Source organism: Homo sapiens, chromosome 18, assembly GCF_000001405.40.
Source record: "Homo sapiens chromosome 18, GRCh38.p14 Primary Assembly".
NCBI classification, from domain to species: domain Eukaryota; kingdom Metazoa; phylum Chordata; class Mammalia; order Primates; family Hominidae; genus Homo; species Homo sapiens.
Window position 1 is genome coordinate 58,046,887 of NC_000018.10, and position 20,781 is coordinate 58,067,667.

General features: G+C 42.7%; 1 protein-coding gene across 21 annotated transcripts in view; it reads left to right on the forward strand.

The window, feature by feature from the left end:
• The window catches only part of NEDD4L (NEDD4 like E3 ubiquitin protein ligase), a 357,315-nt gene that overhangs the window by 2,661 nt on the left and 333,873 nt on the right, over positions 1–20,781 (forward strand). Inside the window, exon 1 of one of the 21 annotated variants that reach the window (NM_001144964.1) lies at positions 340–624. The exons of the other annotated variants lie outside the window; for them this stretch is intronic. The gene's annotated coding sequence lies outside the window, so the exon portion shown is untranslated. Of the gene's footprint in view, positions 1–339; positions 625–20,781 lie in introns of those variants that run through there. 21 annotated transcript variants of the gene reach the window in all.

Genomic DNA, 20,781 nt, shown 5'->3' on the forward strand with positions numbered 1-20,781 from the left:
AACTTTCTCCTACCAGTGAAAAAATAAGCCAGGGCAGTTCTGATGACTTCACATTTCATTGGTATTTGTTTTTCATGGGCAGTTTCATGCTGTCACGTTGCCCTTCAGAGAATCAGGGAATGCCTTCGTAGAATATTAACGACAAATTGTTGAATTTGCACAGCTTGTTTTGTCTCCCTGAATTAGTATGTGTAAGAAAAACCAATGGAAGATTTTAGCAGGCTCTGAAAGTAGAATGCCCGCTGAAGCAAACGGCAGGGTTGTTCTTCCAAGGCGTATTAAATATGGGTACACTTAGTTTGCAGACTTGGTGTGCTGCAGAATATCACATATGAAGATATTTTGACCGCTATTTAGAAGAGTGACCTCATAAATCTTTTAGCAAAGTAGACACACATACCTACCACATTTCTTAAAAGTAGATTCGTATTTTGATTTGAGATTGTTGAAAAGCATGGTATGTTTGGAGTGCACTTAGTTATGTCCCATCTCATAAAGACTGTTGAGCTCTCTGCACTGCTGATGATGAAGCATTGCATGAACCCAGAAAACGGGGATGCCAAAGCACAGGGCTTAGGTGCTGTTCCTTGCGTCATCAGCAGAGGTCTGTCCACTTTGTAGAAGGTAAGGGGTTGAGATGTGGGCTTTGCTTGTGTGAATGTATGTGCTGTTTAATTTTTTCTGTGTGTTTCGGGCGGAGGTTTCTCTGGTGAGTTATAATTCATATTTACCCTGATTTAAGTCATGTCACTTTAGGTAGCCAGATTCAAAACCATCAGATGAAGGACTTTTGGTGTTAGAGGGATTAGCAGTTTAACAAAACTTCTGATTCATGGCCCAAGATCAGATTTGGTTTGGAATCAGAACACTTTGGACTAGTTTCTGCATCTGGCTTGAGTCCTTGTGGATTTCTTGTTTTATTTCTTTATTTTTGGCAATCTGTAGTGCATTTTGGCATAGTTTACTTATGAATGTTACCGCTAACTTTCTGAAATCTTTTATTCCATTTTAGAAAGGTATCATTTATTGAAAAGATTTTTCTACTGAACAAAATACTGGGATTGAATGGCAGCTTCTTATCACATTAGATATGACATTAAGTAATTTCGTTAGTAGTTAAAATGAAGCAAATGGCATAGAAATGAAGGCCAGGCTGACATAGGATAAATGGCACCTTCTCTCCTTATCCTGTACAAACACGGATAGTTGGCTACTTTTGAATGCCTCTTCTATACCAATGGTAAAAATCCGGCTTAATTGGGGCCACATTCTAGCCTAGTCACAATCAGTGGCTTGCATTATGTCCTTTGAGATGTGGCAGATCTGCTTATAGGTGCCAGTCACCACGGCTCCCTGCTGGCTTGGGGGTCTTTCTACTCATTTACATATAATTATCTACTTCTTAATCAACCATTAAGGTTAACTTTTGGCATGGATCCTGTATGCTTTTCAGTTTAAGATGCTGTCACTTTTAAGATGCGCCATGAGAGCAAAGTGCTAAGCCTTGTGCACATACTATGTCATTTAGTTCTCATGAGAACTGTGTGAGGTAGGCTGTGATTTACAGATGAGGAATGAAAGCTCAAAGAGGTTACGTGACCTGCATAAGGACACAAAACAAGTTAAGTTATGGAGCCAGCTATTTTGAATAGAAAGGCCTAGTTTTTAACATGCTGAATATCCTCCCCTTCTGACAAATGCCTTGAAAGGTCTTACTATCTAGATTATTTAAGATAATGTAAGAGAAATAAACACCACTGGTTGCAAACTGATGGCTGCTGGGCCCGATTTGACCAGGAACCCTGCTTAATGTGGTCTCTAGAGTGTTTTAAAGCTTGGAAATTTCATGAAAATGGTAAAAATCTGGCTTAATTGGGGCCACATTCTAACCTAGTTACAGTCAGTGGCTGGCATTATGTCCTTTGAGATGTGGCAGCTAGTTGTGCTATGGTTGCAGTCACCACTACTTTCTGTTGTCTTAGGGGTCTTTCTACTTGTTTACATATAATTATCCACTTCATAACAAACCTTTAAGGCTAACCTTTGGCGTGGATGCCATATTTCTTTCACTTTAGTGTGCTGTCACTTTTAAGATATGCCATTATTTCATGTACCACGAAGAAAAAATTGCTGTCAAGTTATGACATACTGTCCATCTTATGAAGCATCCTTATTTCAGAGAAGTTGAAATATGAGAAAAAGGATATTTTAGAATTGATGAATTACAGTGACTAGAAACCTGGGAAAACTCCATGCCATCAGTTTCAATATCCCCAATCATTCAGTACTTTTAAGTCAACGAGTAGTCAGATTTCTGCTTTTCTGTGTTTGAGGAAAGTGCTAGAAAAAGAGAAGTGCTCTTAAATAGGCATTAGCACAGAAGGAACTGGGGGCCTAGATCATAGCCAACTGGATGGCCGTCTGTAAGTGATTAAGAATAGTTGTTAGTTTTTAAAAAGTGGCCTGTGTGTATTTTCAAGAGATTACTTGGGAAACCCTATGTGCCATCTTTGCAGCTGTGCAAAACGGTGAGGACAAGATTGCTTTCAAAAATTGTGGTTTAGATTTTGCTTGGATCTCAAGGTGAATGCTGACAGGCCGTTTTCTGAAGAGAGAGAAGGCTTGCCCAGTCATGCCAAGTCCAAGTGCCTGTGTCGGGCCTAGATGCTGGATGGTAGACTGTATACCCAGGACATATAGGTAATGTTTGAGAAACAAATGTTAAAAGGACCTAGTTTTCATGGTGACATTTAAAATCAGTTTTTAAAATTCATGAATATAACATGTTGTTTTAAAATTTGATTATAGGGACCGGGTGCAGTGATCACTCCTGTAATCCTAGCATTTTGGGAGGCCGAGGCAGGAGAATCACTTGAGTTCAGGAGTTTGAGGCCAGGCTGGGCAACGTGGTGAAACCCCGTCTCTACAAAAAATAGAAAAGTTAGCCAAACATGGCGGCACGTGCCTGTAGTCCCAGCTACTTGGGAGGCTGAGGTGGAAGGATCACTTAAACCTGGAGGCAGAGGTTGCAGTGAGCCAAGATCATGCCACTGCACTCTAGCCTGGGCGACAGAGTGAGACCCTGTCTCCAAAAAAAAAAAAAAAAAAAAAAAGACTAATGAATAGAATTTATTTTCTTCAATGATGTAGTGTCTGTGGAATTTGTAGACATTGACATTTGAATTTTCATTATATTTAGTTTTATTAAATCAGAATGTTATGATTGTTTATTTCATTATTGAACATCAGTTTCCTTAATTTAAGGAATAAAAATAATTTTGCTCAGGCCAGACATAGTGGCTCACATCTGTAATCCCAGCACGTTGGAGGCCAAGGCTGGTGGATCACTTGAGGTCAGGAGTTTGAGACCAGCCCAGCCAACATGGTGAAACCCTGTCTCTACAAAATAAATAAATAAATAAATGAAAAAAAAATCAGCTGGGTGTGGTGGTGGACACCTGTAATCCCAGCTACTCTGGAGGCTGAGGCAGGAGAATAGCTTGAACCCTGAAGGCAGAGATTGCAGTGAGCCGAGATCGCACCACTGCACTCCAGACTGGGTGACAGAGTGAGACTCTGTCACAATAATAACAGGCTGGGGCAGTGGCTCATGCCCGTAATCCCAGCACTTTGGGAGGCCGAGGCTGGAGGATCACCTGAGGTCAGGAGTTTGAGACCAGCCTGGCCAACATGGTGAAACTCCGTCTTTACTAAAAATACAAAAATTAGCTGGGCTTGGTGGCAGGCAACTGTAATCCCAGTTACTCGGGAGGCTGAGGCAGGAGAATTGCTTGAACCTGGGAGGCAGAGGTTGCAGTGAGACAAGTTCGGGCCATTGTGCTCCAGCCTGGGCAACAAGAGCAAAACTAAAAATAAAAAATAAAAAAAGAATAGTAATAGTTTTGCTTAAAGGGTGAGGACAGTGACAAATGGTGATCCTCAGATGACTGTAGTTTCTTTACCATTACAGAATGCAATTCAAATGAAAACCATTGCATGGTACTCAGGCATTTCTTCAATGCAGTGTGTGCCCACATCACCAGGAAGCTTACTTGGGAAAGTTTGTTTTGGGATTCTGGAGTACCTCAATATATCTGGTATATTTTCCCAAGAAAAGTGAATAATCTTGGGGGGCCGAGGTGGACAGATTGCTTGAGCCCAGGAGTTTGACACCAGCCTGGGCAATGTGGTGAAACCCCACCTCTACAAAAAATACAAAAACTTAGTTGCGTGTTGTGGCACGCACCTGTGGTCCTGGCTGCTGGGGAGGCTGAGGTGGGAGGATGGCTTGAGCCTGGGAGGTTGAGGCTGCAGTGAGCCATGATCATGCCACTGCACTCCAGCCTGGGTGACAGAGCAAGACACTGTCTCAGAAAACAAAGGCAAACAAACAAAGATCACCCCAAAGAAGAACTCCCAACATATTAAAAGTCATTGAGTTTTGTACCCTTCAAATGGATGAATTGTGTTGTGTATGAATTACATCTGAATAAAACTGTTTAAAAATATTAAGAATGATTGAGTGTGACATTATTGCAGCAGTACATTGGAGTTTCTGCTAAATTACTTTTGCATTCATTTCAAAAGGAAGCAACTATGCCCATTGCTAATTTAATAACCTGTTTGCTTGTGCGGTGTTTAAAATGGCATCATGAAAACATGGCAATGTGTGATAGATTAAGAGCCAATTAAATTTTTTATTTTGAGTTACAAGATCTGCATTAAACAGATTTTATTGTTGCCCTTGAATTTCCAGTCTTAGATGAGTAGCAGCAGTGAAAAAAAGAGATCCTAACTTAAGAGTTTTCAAGCTTTTTGATGTTGCAGGTATTTGAATAAGTGGGTCTGTCTTACTGAAATATTTGTTAATTAGCGATAAAGCAAACTATATGTTGATCTTTTGGTAGTCCATGCTAAGGAGGATTAGAATAATATATAAATAATATAATGGTAATAAGTATCAGGGCAGGAGGATTAAAGAAGGGTGGAAGAAGTGTGACAAAATGTTACTTTCTGTTTTTACATTGTTTCTCTTCCAGGTCACAACTGTATTTCAAATGTATTTCATTTTCAGACTATAGGTGGCAATGTTTGTGCTGTTCACTGTTTAATGTTACTGTTGGCTCGGGTGTTGCTTGTTGCTGGAATATGGAAATGATAGCATAATTTAGAGTTGAGAATAAAAAAAACTAGATTTAGAAAACTAGAAACTAGATTTAGATTTAGTAGAGACTTTCTAAATAGTCCTAGTTCTGCTGTGTGGACCCTTCTGTAACTTTCTGTTACTCTGAGAAGGAGCTGATAATTATCACAACTACTGGTGTTTGATTAGCAGAGACATTCTTGATTCCTGATGCAAGACCGTGGCTGAAGTTGTAGCAGGGCGTTTGGTGGTTGGCGATGTAAAGATCTGGGCCTCTTGTTTCATGAATAATAGAATCTCACTATGATTGTAATATTTTGTTTTGAACTGGAGTGCTGATTATTGTAATCCCTTTAGGTGAGAAAAGCCTTATTATATAAGTGTATCTGGGGTAACTAGCTTAAATTTGACACTCCAGTCAACTTTTTGTCCCTGACTTCAGTCCTGCATTGATTCAAAACGCACCAAGTTAAATGTCAAGGCTCTCAGATTCCCTTGCTGTCATCAAATTCAGTGTTTGGTGACTTCTTGGCAGGCAGACATCTACCAAGAGATTTTGTATTCTTTTTATACCTCCTATTCACCAAAAGAAAAGGGCCATTCAAAAGTGAGTTTTTCTTTTTTTTTTTTTTTAAGTTTAAAAAGCTATGATGTGGCCACCCATGGTGGCTCATGCCTATAATCCTAGCACTTTGGGAGGCCAGGGCAGGCAGATCACTTCAGGCCAGGAGTTCAAGACCAGCCTGACCAACATGGCAAAACCCCGTTTCTACTAAAAATACAAAAATTAGCTGGGCGTCGTGGCGTGCCCCTGTAATCCCAGCTACTTGGGAGGCTGAAGCAGGAGAATCGCTTGAACCTGGGAGATGGAGGTTGTGGTGAGCTGAGATTGCAACTCTGCACTCCACCCTGGGTGACAGAGTGAGACTTTGTCTCAAAAAAAAGCTGTGATGTGAAACCTGTTCTGTGAAGGTGGAACTTGGAAAGGCTTGTAAGGATGGTGGTCCCATGAAGAGGATGAACAAACCAAGGGAACTGTCCTCTTGCTGGTTTGGGTGATGTCCCATCACCTGTCACTTTGTTTGTTTGGGCTGCAGTGGACCAATGGTTTCCCAGGCACACTGAAGTGACATGTAGATGGATTGCTTGAGTGGCTCCGGCATGTTTCCATCTCCTGTCTACCAGGCAGAGACCGTGTTCCCTGTTTTGAGGGGATCCAGAAGTGCAGTGACAAGGGCCTGATTTGCATCTCCAGCTCCTGGTCTTGCCTGTGTTAACAATTTTTTTTTTTTCTTTCCAGATGGAGTCTCACTCTGTCGCCCAGGCTGGAGTGCAGTGGTGCAATCTCGGCTCACTGCAAGCTCTGCCTCCCGGGTTCACGCCATTCGCCTGCCTCAGCCTCCCAAGTAGCTGGGACTACAGGTGCCCACCACCACGCCCGGCTAATTTTTTTGTATTTTTAGTAGAGACGGGGTTTCACCATGTTAGGCAGGATGGTCTCGAACTCCTGACCTTGTGATCCACCTGCCTCGGCCTCCCAAAGTGCTGGGATTACAGGCATGAGCCACCGTGCCCGGCCAACAATTTTTACATTCTAATTAATTTCCAGTTTCCAACCTGACTCAAGGTTTAGCTCTTCGTCTCTTGGGTGCAGTTTTGGATCATGTCTTATAATGTATATTTAAAAGTGTGTTGTAAAGCTGGAATTCCCATTGTGGGTAAATGCTGAGATTGTTGTAATACTGAGAAGTGCACTTGGGAACCATGGCCAACACTGCCCTAGCTGACCGGAGGTTGCACTGAGTTGTCCCCTTTGAACATCTGTTATGAATGAATGTTGGAAAATGCAAAGCCAATCATTTCTTTTACCTGACCTATGTGATGTTAAGTTTTAGTTTTATGTTTTGGCAAGTGAGTGTTGGATGTCACTAATGTGAGGAGGCCGGTGAGGGCAGACTTTGGGTCAGAGGTAATGTAGGAGATGAAGACCCTTTCTATTAATTTTTCTTGTTTAATTGAAGATGTTCGTGTTGAATGGGTTTTATTTACATGTATAAGTTCTTTTTTTCTTAATGCTGGAAGTTACTTTGGTTTTTCAGAAAATGCAAGTAACCCTAATCTATTTAGAGAATTACTTTGCTTAGTAAGCACTCAGTACTATTTAGTAATGGGGAAAAAATGTGTTTGTGTCCCACAGCGTGACAGGCTCCACAAACTTACTTACGAATCTCCTAACTACCCTGAGAACCTGAAGAATGGGACTTTGTGGAGAATCTTCTGCTTTCTTTGCTAGTCTCTATTTTTCCTTCTCAGTTATTAAGTGAGTTGTCTTTGGGTGTCCTCATCATGCTGACTTCATCTTGCCCAGTTTGTTTTGGGTAGAGGAAGGAGTGCAAGGTTTAAAGGAAAAGCAAAGCCTGTACAACATGGTGAGACCCCATGCCTGTGGTCCCAGCTACTTGAGAGGCCCAGGTGGAAAGATAATTTGAGCACCGGGGTTCAGGAATGCGCTGAGTAATGATTGCACCACCGCACTCGAGTCTGGGCAACAGAATGAGACCTCATTTCAAAAGAAAAAGAAAAAGCAAGACTGAATCATTTCACTTTGTATTCTCCTCCTTGCTCTCATTCCTTTTGTGCTTCATGCATTGTGTGTGACAATTGGATGCAGCCGTAATTATTGTCAGTAACTTGGTTTTTAAGCTTCAGACTGTATTTCCTCCTCACTTGTTAACACCAGAAGATAAATGAATGTGGCTCTTGGATTGAACTACATCTACAGGGAGCTGAACTTCCCATGTTGACGTTGAATTCTAGAGTATGCTTATGCTGATTCTTGAGAAATTGGTATGTGCCGTGCCTTTGGAATTGATACCTTAATTTTCAGTGAATATTATTGGTATTATTATTAAAGAGAACACTTTAAGCCAGGAGTAAGAGCTTTTCCTCCTTTTGAGAAGTGAGGTACAGAAGAGTATACTGCAGCTGTGGGAGTGATGGGTGGGGTGGGGCAGTGTTGAAGAATATTTAATACCACGAAGATGTCACCAGTATAATATTAAATAGAAAAAGTAGGTTATAAGACAGTGGATCCAGTAGAATCCTATTGTGGTTAAGTGTTTATATGTAGAGAAAATGACTAGGGGCTAGGCACAGTGGCTCACGCCTGTAATCTGAACCACTTTGGGAGATAGAGGTGGGAGGATCACTTGAACCCAGGAGTTCAAGACCAGCCTGGGCAACATAGTGAGACTCTGTCTCTATAAAACAAGAAAAAAGAAAAACTAACTAGGGATATATTCCAGCATGTTAGTGGAGGTTATCTTTGAGCAAAGGGGATTATAGGTAATTTTTTATTGTCTTGTGTTTTGCTTACATGTGTTTTCTATATTTCTACAATAAACCTTTTTTTCTTAATATAAAAGTAAGTTTAAAAGTGAGTTTAAAAATCCCTGAAAGGCATGTACTTCAAGCTTCAAGTGAAAGTTATAGTACTTGTTCAGCACAAATACTGATATAGTGTTTGTTCAGTGGAACACTTATTTAGGGTCTGCCTTGTGTTTTGTGTCTAAGGATTACCAGGTCATTTTCATATTAGGAGCTCACCACTACGTTGGGAGTTGGAGAGATAGAGCAAGGACTATTTTAAGGAAAAAATGACTGGTAAATTGTATTTCTTTTTCCCCACTTGCAGTTTGCAAAATAGATGTTTCATTTCTCTCCACTGTGGACACTTAAAGTTTGAATTTCCATCCTTCTGTGCACTCCAGTTGCGTGAAAGTAATTTACATTGCTAGTAGTGGTTTGGGTTCTCTGAAATTTTTTGTGTGTGCTATGGAAATTGTCTCCTGTGATCAGACTCAAATCCATTTCTCCTTATTATTGTTTTCTTAGGTTTTGAGTTAGAGACCTTTTCATGACCGTATAAGGTGTTGAATAGGTTTAGATATCAAAGTGATAGCTATGCATAGCTATACTCACCTGTGAGCGGTCAGCTCTTCAGTGTTTCTTTCAACTGACTTGTAATATCCAGCCACTGTTGGGTGTGACCTAAAGTGTATCTCTTCCCAAACAGAAGGGAGGAGTTGACAAACACCATGTTACTTTTAATCAGAGACTTGTCCTTGTCCCCCTTCCCCCAGCCTTTTAATAATTCTGAATTCATGTTGCAGTCGATATGTGTTTAAAGTGTTGGTAGGTTTCTTGTACTCACACCATCCTCCTCCACTCCTCTCACCCCCAAAAAGTGACAGCTGACAGTTGATGGCATCTTAGAATTGTGAGGCTTGAGTTGGTCTGTCTCAATTCGTGTTTTATGGTGGCCCATAAATTGTGAAAGATAATTGATAGTTGTCATGGGAACTAGTTATGTTGTTCAGCTATGATGTCTCAATTAGGAAATGTTCACCTAGACAGTAGGGAAATGGGCCAGCTCAGGGATGTCTTCAGGAACCAGGTTCATTGTTTTTTCTGCTTTCCCTTCTACAGCCTGGCTCTTTCCAGGGCTTCTTGGTCCTAGGCTGGCTGCCACTGACAGAGCTATGCCTTTTTTTATTTTTTTACTTTTTTTCAAGACAGTCTCACTCTGTAGCCCAAGCAAGAGTGCAGTGACACCATCTTGGTTCACTGCAACCTCCACCTCCTGGGTTTAAGCGATTCTCCTGCCCCATCCTCCCGAGTAGCTGGGACTACAGGCATGTACCACCACACCCAGCTAATTTTTGTATTTTTAATGGAGATGGGGTTTCACCATGTTGGCCAGGCTGGTCTTGAGCTCCTGACCTCAAGTGATCCACCTGCCTCGGCCTACCAAAGTGCTGGGATTACAGGTGTGAGCCACCATGCCCAGCCAGAGCTATGCCCTCTTTTTTTTTTTTTTTTGTTTGTTTGTTTATAACTGTGTACTTGTAAAGGAAAGAGAACGGCCTCCTGTGCCTTAAATCTTCTGTTGTGTCTCAGGGCCCACAGAGGCTGAGATCTGTTCATCCTGCAACCAGTCACCGTGGCAAGGAGGAGATAGAATTACCTTTTTTTCTTACCTTTTGAGCCAGGGGTAAAGTCAGGCACGGTGACCCTGCATTCCACACCTTGGATAATCCATCCACCTTCAGAAATGCCCCTGGCTTCGTGAAATGCACATGCTCCCTTTCTCCAGGGAGGTGACCCGAATATGCAGCTAAGTATTGCAAGGATTTCTGGGTAATATTACACCTGAAAGGAGGTTTTTTTTTTTTTTAATTATCTGGTGATTTATGACTAAATAGGCTATGTCTCTCAAAACATTGAACCTGCAATGGGCAAGAAAGAACAGGATGACTACAATGAACCTTCTATTTGGAAAAGGGGAAAATAAGACACTCACAGTGGGGTAGCTGGCTGAACAGGAACAGCTGGGAGCGTTTGCTTTGGTCAGCCGGTCTGGCAGCTTGCCTCTGCTGAAGTCCGTCCAGGGTGAGAATCTCGCTTGGTCATTGTCCTCTGCAGCTGCACCTGGATGGGGTAGGCACTGGCAAAGCTCCTTTTCTTGGGTGCTGCTTGGCATTAGTCTGGGGCTTCAGGATTGGTTGTCTTGGGGTTGAATAGCCACAGGCTTGTTCCAGCCTTACTGAGAATGTCTTTGGCAAAACTGCTCCCAGGAAAACTCAGGCTCTGAGTTTTGTGTCTAGTCAATTCCATGGGCTGGTAATGGCAGCCAGTGATCTCACCTAGATGAGGTCTGTGGTTCTGGGAATTCCTGGGTCTTAACAGTAAGTCCCACAGCCCTGCTAATCCCCACCACATCTGCCTTGAGGCAATTTTAAAATAGCCTAGAATGAAGAGGCACACAGTTTTGGGTCTAACAGACAACAGGGGCAGTTTAACCCACTCTGCTTTTGCTCTCTGGTGTATCAAGAATGAGCAACTTCCCCACACTGGGATTGTGGGACTCTGAGTACCCACTTCCCTTCACTCAGCCATTCCAATTTCTTAAAGCAATTTTTAAAAAATGGTGGTAAGGCCGGCCGCGGTGGCTCACGCCTGTAATCCCAGCACTTTGGGAGGCTGAGGCAGGTGGATCACGAGGTCAGGAGGTAGAGACCATCCTGGCCAATATGGTGAAACCCCGTCTCTACTAAAAATACAAAAATTAGCTGGGTGTGGTGGCACGCACCTGTAATCCCAGCCTCTCGGGAGGCTGAGGCAGGAGAATCGCTTGAACCTGAGAGGCGGAGATTGCAGTGAGCCAAGATGGTGCCACTGCACTCTAGCCTGGCGACAGAGCGAGACTCCATCTCAAAAAGGTGGTAAAATACACATGACAAAATGGACTCTCTTAGCCACATTAAAGTGTATGGTTTGGTGGCATTACATGCATGCACACTGTTGGCAGCCATCACCCCTGTCTAGCCATGGAACTCTTTCATCTTGCAAAACTGGAAATGCCTTACTCGTGAACCAGTACCTCCCCATTCCCAGCCATTCCAGTTTCTTGTAGCGCATCTTCTCTTTGATACAAAATCTTTGATAGGGTTTTGATTGCAGGCAACAGCAATTGAATCTGATGAATTCAACAGAGAAAGAATTAACTGAAGGAATTTGGGGTAGCACTGGAGTACTTGTCACACTGGAGAGACAGGCCTGGACAGGGGTCAGGGACCAATGAAGCCTGGGCATCCAGAATCACAGCTGTTAGTGTGTTTTATTATTTAAGAGTGAGCTCAGAGGTCACTGTTCAAAGCTGGGCACTCTGTCTCCAACTATCCCTCTTCACATCCCAGACTCAATAGCACCTTTCTGCATAGTTACTTCTACTGAATACTTCACTGACAGCAATGAAGGATTGTTGGTTTATGTGTCTGTCTCGTATAGATTAGGCACCTCTTCAGAGCCACAGCCACATCCCAATGATTTATCTCCAGTCCCAAGCACCGAATCAGACCCCTTGACCGTTTACTCCATTCAAGTGATGATCTCAGGTTAGATAATCATGAGGTCAGTTGGTCAAAGCAAAAACATCTTTTTAAATGTCTTTTTGAATTCTAATTTGTTTATGCAATATAGATTACTCCTCCTATTTTCTTCTTCTTTCTTTTTTTTCCTTAAGAGATGGGATCTCAGTATGTTGGCCAGGCTGGCCTCTAACTCCTGGGCTCAGCGGTTTCTCCCACCTTGGTTTCCTAAAGTTCAGGGATGACACGTGTGAGCCACCGTGCTCAGCCCCTCCTCCTATTTTCTAGTCTGTGTCATTACTGAGAATTTTACTCTTTATTCTCTTTCCTCAAATTCTAAGTGAAAAGACCTCTCCTCTCTAGGCCCCAAGAAAGGCAAATGTGTTCCACGGAAGAAGGTTGCAGACCCATGTTTGATTGCTTTATACCATATTTCCCCCCCAGAGGCTCTTAAAAGGGCAAAGAAGGTGTTGAAACTGCCACTGTCAATACCAGAGCATCTGCTTGAAACCAATGTTTCTTTTGTGACTCCAGGATCCATGCTGCCTGGCTAAGAAGGGCAGTGTCCTCCTTGCCCAGGTGTTAAACCACAACAGACCTAGAAAACTGAGATGTCACTCCTCCCCTGGAGTGACAGCAGTGTTAGGAAGTTTGGAATCTGCCAACCCACCTCATCCTGTCCATGAAGTTGTCACTTGGCTAGGTGTTGATGTAAATGTGCTACAGAAACAAACTCACCTCTTGTGGGACATGGTGACTCTGGTTAGTAACAATGTATTCTTCAAAATTGCCAAGACAGTAGATTTTAAATGTTCTTCGTATGCAAACTTGGTAAGTATGTGGGGTAATGCATAGGTTAACTAGCTTGAATTAACCATTCCGCAGTGTGTATGTATTTCGAAATAACATGTACATGACAAACAGATACAATTTTCATCAATTAAAATAAACATTTAGAAAAATAACATAAATCCTCACAATAGCCCTTTGAGGTAGGTGCTGTCATTTTATAGGTGGGGAAACTGAGGTTCAAGGAGGTTAAATAACTTGCCCAGGGTCACAGAACTACTTAGTAAGTGGCTGAGCCAGGACTTGAACAAGCAGTCCGGTTGTAGACACCCGGAGTGGAACCATCACGCTGTGGTGTGTCCGGGAGTGCTTCAAGCAGGGGTTGGTTGGGGGTGGGGTTGGGGTGGGGAAGGCACAGCTGAGGCCTGAGTGGCCAGACTGTAAAAGCCAAAGGAAGAAGTGGCTGGATGTGAACAGCTTTGTGGACCTCATCAAGGAGCTGGGACTATATTGTTTGAGGCACCTTGAGAAACCTGTTGAGATCTGGGCTTTTCTTATTAGTAAGTATGTTGCCCAGACTGGTCTCGAACCCCTGGCCTCAGGTAATCCTCCCATCTCAGCCTTCTGAGTCGCTGGGATTACAGGTGCAAGTCGTTGGGCCCGGCAATCTGGGCTTTTCTAAAGCTCACCATGCAGCTTTGGGGAGATTGGATTTGAGTTGGACAACCCTAGGCAGTTGCAGAGCTGTCCAGGCAGAAATGGTGATGACGGTGAAAATGAGCCAGGGGATAAGGCAGGAGGTATTTAGGAGGCAGATTCCATTGGATTTGGTCACTGATTGATTAGGTACAAAAAAAGGGAGGTGTCTAGAATAATCCCTAGGTTTCTTCAGAGGACTAGGTAGATGGGAGGAGGGGAAGAAGCCTATCTCTATTAAATACTTAGTACAGTGGCTCTAAACTGGGGCCTGTCTTGCACCCTTCCTTCTCCCCTAGGGGACATTTGGCAATGCCTGGAGACTTTTTTTTGAGACGGAGTTTTGCTCTTGTTGCGCAGGCTGGAGTGCAATGGCGTGATCTCAGCTCACTACAACCTCCGCCTCCTGGGTTCAAGCGATTCTCCTGCCTCAGCCTCACGAGTAGCTGGGGTTACAGGTGCCTGCCACCACACCCAGCTAATTGTTGTATTTTTTAGTAGAAATGGGGTTTCACCATGTTGGTCAGGCTGGTCTCAAACTCCTGACCTCAAGTGATGTACCGGTCTCGGCCTCCCAAAGTGCTGGGATTACAGGCGTGAGCCACTGTGCCCGGCCGCCTGGAGACATTTTTGATTGTCACAGCTTAGGAGATGCCTCTGACATCTAGAAGGTGGAGGCCAGAGATGCAGCAGAACATCTTACACGGCACAGTACAGCTCCCACAACGATCATCTCGCCCCAAATGCTGCCGAGGTTGAGAAACCCTGCTGTAGTGTAGTATCAGTTTTACGTGGTTATCTAATTGGATCCGTGAGCCAGTCATGTTAGATCATAAATATGATTTTTCCTGTTTTTCAGATAAAAAACTGAGGCATAGACAGGATGGGTCACTTGGCCAAAGCTCTGCAGCTAGTAAGTGTTAGAGCCAGAATTTGAACGCAAGTCTTCCAGATGTCAGAATCTACTCCTTCTGCTTACCCTGCTGCTTCATATCTCACAGTGATGCCAAGGAAGATGCACATTGGACTGTGGGTTGTTTTTTTTTTTTTTCTTTCTGTCATGGTGGCTCCAGACTAGAGGAGGCAGGAAGGAAGGTGGTTATTTATAGTCAGCTGTGCATAGGATCGATTTTTTTCAATCCTGAAGGACTTGCAGCAGGTAGTTCAAAGAAACCTCCTTTAGACGTTGACTTTCCCTTGCAGTTGTAAATATGGGAACATTTACCATCTTTTGCTTTAAAATATACTGTTATAATTAAGGTAAAATGTAAAACTTATAACTTAAAAACTTTACTCCCTGTGCATATGAACTATGGCAAGCTTCTCAAATTAATTACTATCCCTTTGGGATAAATTAAAATATTTTGATTTGCTAGAGGTAAGGAGCCCTTTTGAGAATTAGTTTGTTTTAGTTGAGAATGATTAGAGGGCTAGAATGATATATAGCTCTAAATAGGAAGGTTTCTGATTCTTTTGGCTACTCTCCACTTTTACTGGTTATTTTCCAGTTCTGGGAAGATTCTGCATGTATGTAGCAGCCTCCCTTGGCTATCCATGGTATTAGAGCTCTAGGGACAGAGTTCTCCTAGTTGAACTCTTCATAATATCTCATTATTGGTATTTTCAAAGTTATATGTGTATTTTAAGATAGTCTTTGGATGATGTTCCAAAGAAGGCTGCTTTGTTGAGATTGAGATAGTTGTTTTGCAGTTGTGATTTCTCTTTGTAAAAAGAAGTCTTTGTGTCGGTCCCAGGTCTTATTTTTTGCTTGATCACCCAGTACGTGGGTGCACTTGGGCTGTTGGGACCATCTGGTGAGTGTGAGGTCTCTGTACTTCACCTGTGGAGTCTGTTGTCCTGAAAGGTGCCGGCTCAGGTGGTGGTGCTTTGAGGGGAGCTTGTTTGCTGCACCTTCCAGTCTGCTAGAAAATAGATGCTTAGAGGGGCATTTCGGGGTGGAATCTGATCATGGAGTTTGGTGAGCAAACAGGGCCTCAAGTTTTATGTTGTGAGAAATAAATACTGAGTTTATGTTTTAATTATGGCACAGATTAATACAAAATCTGGTGAAAAATGGAGAAAAGGAGAGCTTAAAACTTAGCTGTTTGTTGCTGTCATCTAAATGTAGTTGGTAGCCAGCCTAGATGGGACCACAGCATGGCACTAAAGCGCGGCTGCTGCTTTTCAGATCCCATGTTCATATTCGCATGTGTGGAGCATGAAAGTACCAATAGAAAATTTTGACAAAGAAATTGAAGGGTTGGGCCAGGGACGGTGGCTCACGCCTATAATCCCAGCACTTTGAGAGGCTGAGGCAGGCAGATCACGAGGTCAGGAAATTGAGACCATCTTGGCTAACACGGTGAAACCCCGTCTCTGCTAAAAATATAAAAAATTAGCCGGGCCTTGTGACAGGCGCCTGTAGTCCCAGCTACTCGGGAGTCTGAGGCAGGAAAATGGCATGAACCCGGGAGGCAGAGCTTGCAGTTAGCCGAGATTGTGCCACTGCACTCCAGCCTGGGCGACAGAGCGAAACTCCATCTCAAAAAAAAAAAAAAAAAGAAATCGAAGGGTCGATAATTTCATTTATTTGTTCTTTTTTTTTTTTTTTTTTTTTTTTGAGACAGTATCTCACTCTGTTGCCCAGGCTGGAGTGCAGTGGCGTTATCACGGTTCACTGTAGCCTTGACCTCCGAAGTCCACACGATCCTCCTACCACAGCCTCCCAAGCAGCTGGGACTACAGGCACTCGCCACCATGCCTGGCTAATTTTTTATTTTTATTTTTATTTTTTGTAGAGACAAGTTCGTGCTGTGTTGCCCAGGCTGGTCTCGAACTCCTGGGCTCAGGCAGTCATCCTGCCTCAGCTTCCCAAATTGCTGGATTTATTGTCATGAGCCACCACACCTGGCCAGGGTCAGTAAGTTAAAAGATACCTTCTAAACTCAGCCCAATATTGAAGAGTAAACATAAAAATACATGTTTTGTCTATTATACTATTACTGTTACTCAATGCTTAACTAATTGTGCTTATGTTTTTTTCTTTGCCAAAATTTCTCTTCAAGGAGCAAGTTTTTCTAATATTGCTTTTCTTGGGAAGAACAATTAGTCACGAGATAGTACAGCTTTTTTTTTTTTTTGAGACAGATTCTCACTCTGTCATCCAGGCTGGAGTGCAGTGGTGCGATCTCGGCTCACTGTAACCTCCACCTGCCGGGTTCAAGTGATTCTCCTGCCTCAGCCTCCCGAGTAGCTGGGACTACAGGCACTCGCCACCATGCCCGGCTAATTTTTGTATTTTTTGTAGAGACGGGGTTTCACCATATTGTCTCGAACTCCTGACCTTGTGATCCACCCGCCTCGGCCTCCCAAAGTGCTGGGATTACAGGCGTGAGCCACTGTGCCCAGCCGTAGTGCAGTATTTTTAAGCTTCGGTAAGGTAGAACCCCTTTAGAGAAAAAACATCAGTGAGAAGCCATGTTGCCTTATTTTTACTATAATGTTTCTTTTTTTTTTTTTTTTTTTTTTTTTTTTTTTTTGAGACGGAGTCTTGTTCTGTTGCCCAGGCTGGAGTGCAGTGGCGTGATCTCGGCTCACTGCAAGCTCCGCCTTCCGGGTTCATGCCATTCTCCTGCCTCAGCCTCTCAAGTAGCTGGGACTACAGGCACCCGCCACCACGCCCGGCTAACTTTTTATATTTTTAGTAGAGACGGGGTTTCACCGTGTTAGCCAGGATGGTCTTGATCTCCTGACTTCGTGATCTGCCCGTCTCGGCTTCCCAAAGTGCTGGGATTACAGGCGTGAGCCACCGCGCCTGACCCAATGTTTCTTAAAATACATCCAAACATAAAAAGAACAAGGATGTTTATAGCTGGTATATCACCATAGCCATCACTATAACACCGTAACAAACATGCAAATTTGTTACAAATCTAATTCTCAAATGAATACCATTCAAATTAATAGCATGATTTTAATGTGACAGGTGATGCTATTTTATTAAAACTCTATCATCTGTGCTCAGGAAGTCATGGCTGCTAGGGTAAGTTTTCCTTTCCTAACCAATTATGTGCCAGTTGGTGGTAACATAACACCGTTTTCCTTTGTTTCCTTTATTCAAACTTCTCTTGTACTATGTACTAGAGCATGAAAACGTCTTTGACCTACAGTTATGTTAGCTGGAGACACAGCAGAACTACTGTTGTCATCTTGATCCTGAATACAAGGGCCGATTGAAGCCCCAGAAATCATGGGGAAGTACTCGTTTACATAAAGTGGTCATGTAGATAATCTAAAATATGCCCGTTAGTGTATTAAGATCATAACTGCCTAAAGCTTCCTGTGCCAGGAGTGGTCTTAGCTCTCAAAGAAGTCATAGTCTGGCCAGGCGTGATGACTCATCCCTCTCATCTCAGCACTTTGGGAGGCGAAAGGATTGCGTGAGGCCAGGAGTTTGAGACCAGCCCGGGCAACATAGCTTGATCCCGTTTCTTAAAAAATGGAAGTGATATCCAGGTGGGGAAACCTTCCTGCTGTAGTGGAGCCTCTTGAGATGGCACACGTATTTTGCTCACAGGTGCTATCAATATATAGCTCTGGTTCTTCAGAATATAAATAACTATCACCTGACCCCAATACCTTATCTATATTGAGATTGTTCATTAGATCCAAAACATCTTGTGCATTTCTTGCTTTTTAGTCATGCACAGACCTTGTCTTTACTTTCAAAGACAGTTTGGTACTGAAAATTGCTCTGGTAAATTAACACAATTTATTTAATCCCTGCTCTTTCCAATCTTTAGCAACGTTTTTTTCATTGTCACCATCAGATGACCTTGCTGAGCTTCCAAGTGGCAATTGCTTTTGTTGTATTGTTTAAAGGCAAACAAAAATCAATTATTATTGGCTCTAGAGTGCCTGGCGAGGTGGAGCTCAGTTCTTTGTGCATTGCGCACTATGCTGCTGGTGTCTCAGCTGCCATGCTTATGGTTGCATTACTTTCCTGTCTAGCTTTGGTATTCTTGCCTTTAAAAATTTCTTTTTCCATTTGCTTTTCTTAGCCAGTGATGACAGTAAAATAAGGAACGACCTATTTATTGTTTTAAGAGATACGCTGGATGGTGCCCAGGCAGATGAGCATTGCCATTCAAGGTGGCTTCTTGGTAGACTGCATTTACTCTTAATCGGGTGCCTGTGGGTCAGTGCATTTCTTGGTCATCCTTACTCTGTCAAAGCTGCCTTGTTAGCCAGGTTACTAGCCATACTAGTCTCATTACCTTACGATAACACCTCATTCAAATGGCCTTAACGAAGTTGAACACTTATCTTAGTCACTATGGTTGGCTTTGAACCTTTTCTAGAAGTTAAGTTTATTCCCTGGGAAAAAACGTGTTTGCCACCACACAGAGTGCTGGGTGTACTGGGAACCCGGCTTCAAAGGCAACTACTCCAGTAGGGAAGGTTGAGGAGGGTATTGAATGATAGCTCACTGCTTAAATAAGTGTTTAGAGTCCCAAGGTATATGTAATGGCATATGAAATGCCTAGTGTTTAAAGAATATTCAGAAATAATCAGTCATACTCTTTAATATTCATATCTCATAGAGTTAGCATCAGGAAGGAAACTTGGTAGATTAAATAAAATAGCAGAAATTACTGCTGGATTTTTGTACAGTAGAAATGTATGCACATTTTTCTCCCCTAGTAGTCACTTAAGTTGCATATCCATTTCCTGTTACATCTCATGACATGTTTTGGGTAAACCGTTTTTGGAAGCGTCCATTTGTGTAGAAGTTAGGTGGTTCTGAGTTTAACTTTGTACACATTTCTAGGCACAAGGAAATTAAATAACTGGCTGAGTGAGAGTGATCTCGTTGAATGCTGAGGCTTGTTTGGGAATTGGGTTTATTTTGGTGAAATGTAAATTTAGATCCACTCTGTATTAGTTTTTTTTTTTTTTTTTTTTTTTAACGGAGTCTCTCTCTTTCACCCAGGCTGAAGTGCAGTGGCATGATCTCAGCTTACTGCCACCATGCCAGGCTAACTTTTGTATTTTTAGTAGAGACGGGGTTTCAACCATGTTGGCCAGGCTGGTCTTGAACGCCTGACCTCGTGTTCCACTCACCTTGGCCTCCCAAACTGCTAGGATTACAAGCATGAGCCATCGCGCCCGGCCAAGTCCGTTTTTACACTCCTATAACGACATACATGAGACTGCGTAATTTATAAAGAAAAGAGGTTTAATTGGCTCACGATTCTGCAGGTTGTACAGGCTTCTGCTTCTGGGGAGGCCTCAGGAAACTTACAGTCATAAGGGAAGGTGAAGAGGAAGCAAGCATGTCTTACATGGAAGAATCAGGAGGAAGAGGGGTGGGGTGCCACATATTTTTAAATAACCAAGCACAGACTCACTATCACGAGAGCAACACTGAGGGGCAAAATCCACTCCCATCATCTCATCTCCTTGTACCAGGCCCCTCCTACAACACTGGGGATTGCAATTCCACATGAGATTTGAGTTGGGACACAAATCTAAACCATATAACCCTCATACACATGTATTGTAATTCAGAATTTGTCATTTTAAAAAAAAATTTTTAAGATTAGCTTATCAATTTAAATGTTTCCAGCCCTGAACTCTCAAAGTCAACTTTAATGAGTTTTGATTTTTGCCGAGAAAGATCAACAGCAGAAGAAAGAGAAGTATAACAAAACTTAGCTCCACAGGAGCAAACTGGAGAATTGGAGTACTGGTTTATGATTTTGGTCAGTTAAGCAGAATGCAGTCCTAGTTTAAACAAGACTGGATAAAAGTCCAAATTCAAATACCATTCTTACAAGTGTTTGAATTTAATTTTGTCAGTGTACATACATATATCTAGTACCATAGTGATCTCAGGCTTTGAAGAATGAAAAGCAAAAGAAATGATTTAGAGTCCTGGTCCAACCACTCAGCTATCTGATATCCTTTTGCTATTTTCGTTTAAGGGGTTATCAGGGAATGAGCTAATTTGACATTTTCTGCTTAAAGCAATGGTTGGGGCTGGGTTGGGGTGGAGAGAGCTGCTCTGAGGAGGTGGTGTGGGGGGCCTGCGAGGACACACTTGGGTTACCTGGTACATCTGCAGTTCCCATGGAATTGGGTCTCAAAACTGAGAAATGGAAGTGTGAGCTAGGAAGAGGAGTAGCTTAATGGGGACTTTGCCACACTTTTAGTGCTCCTGTA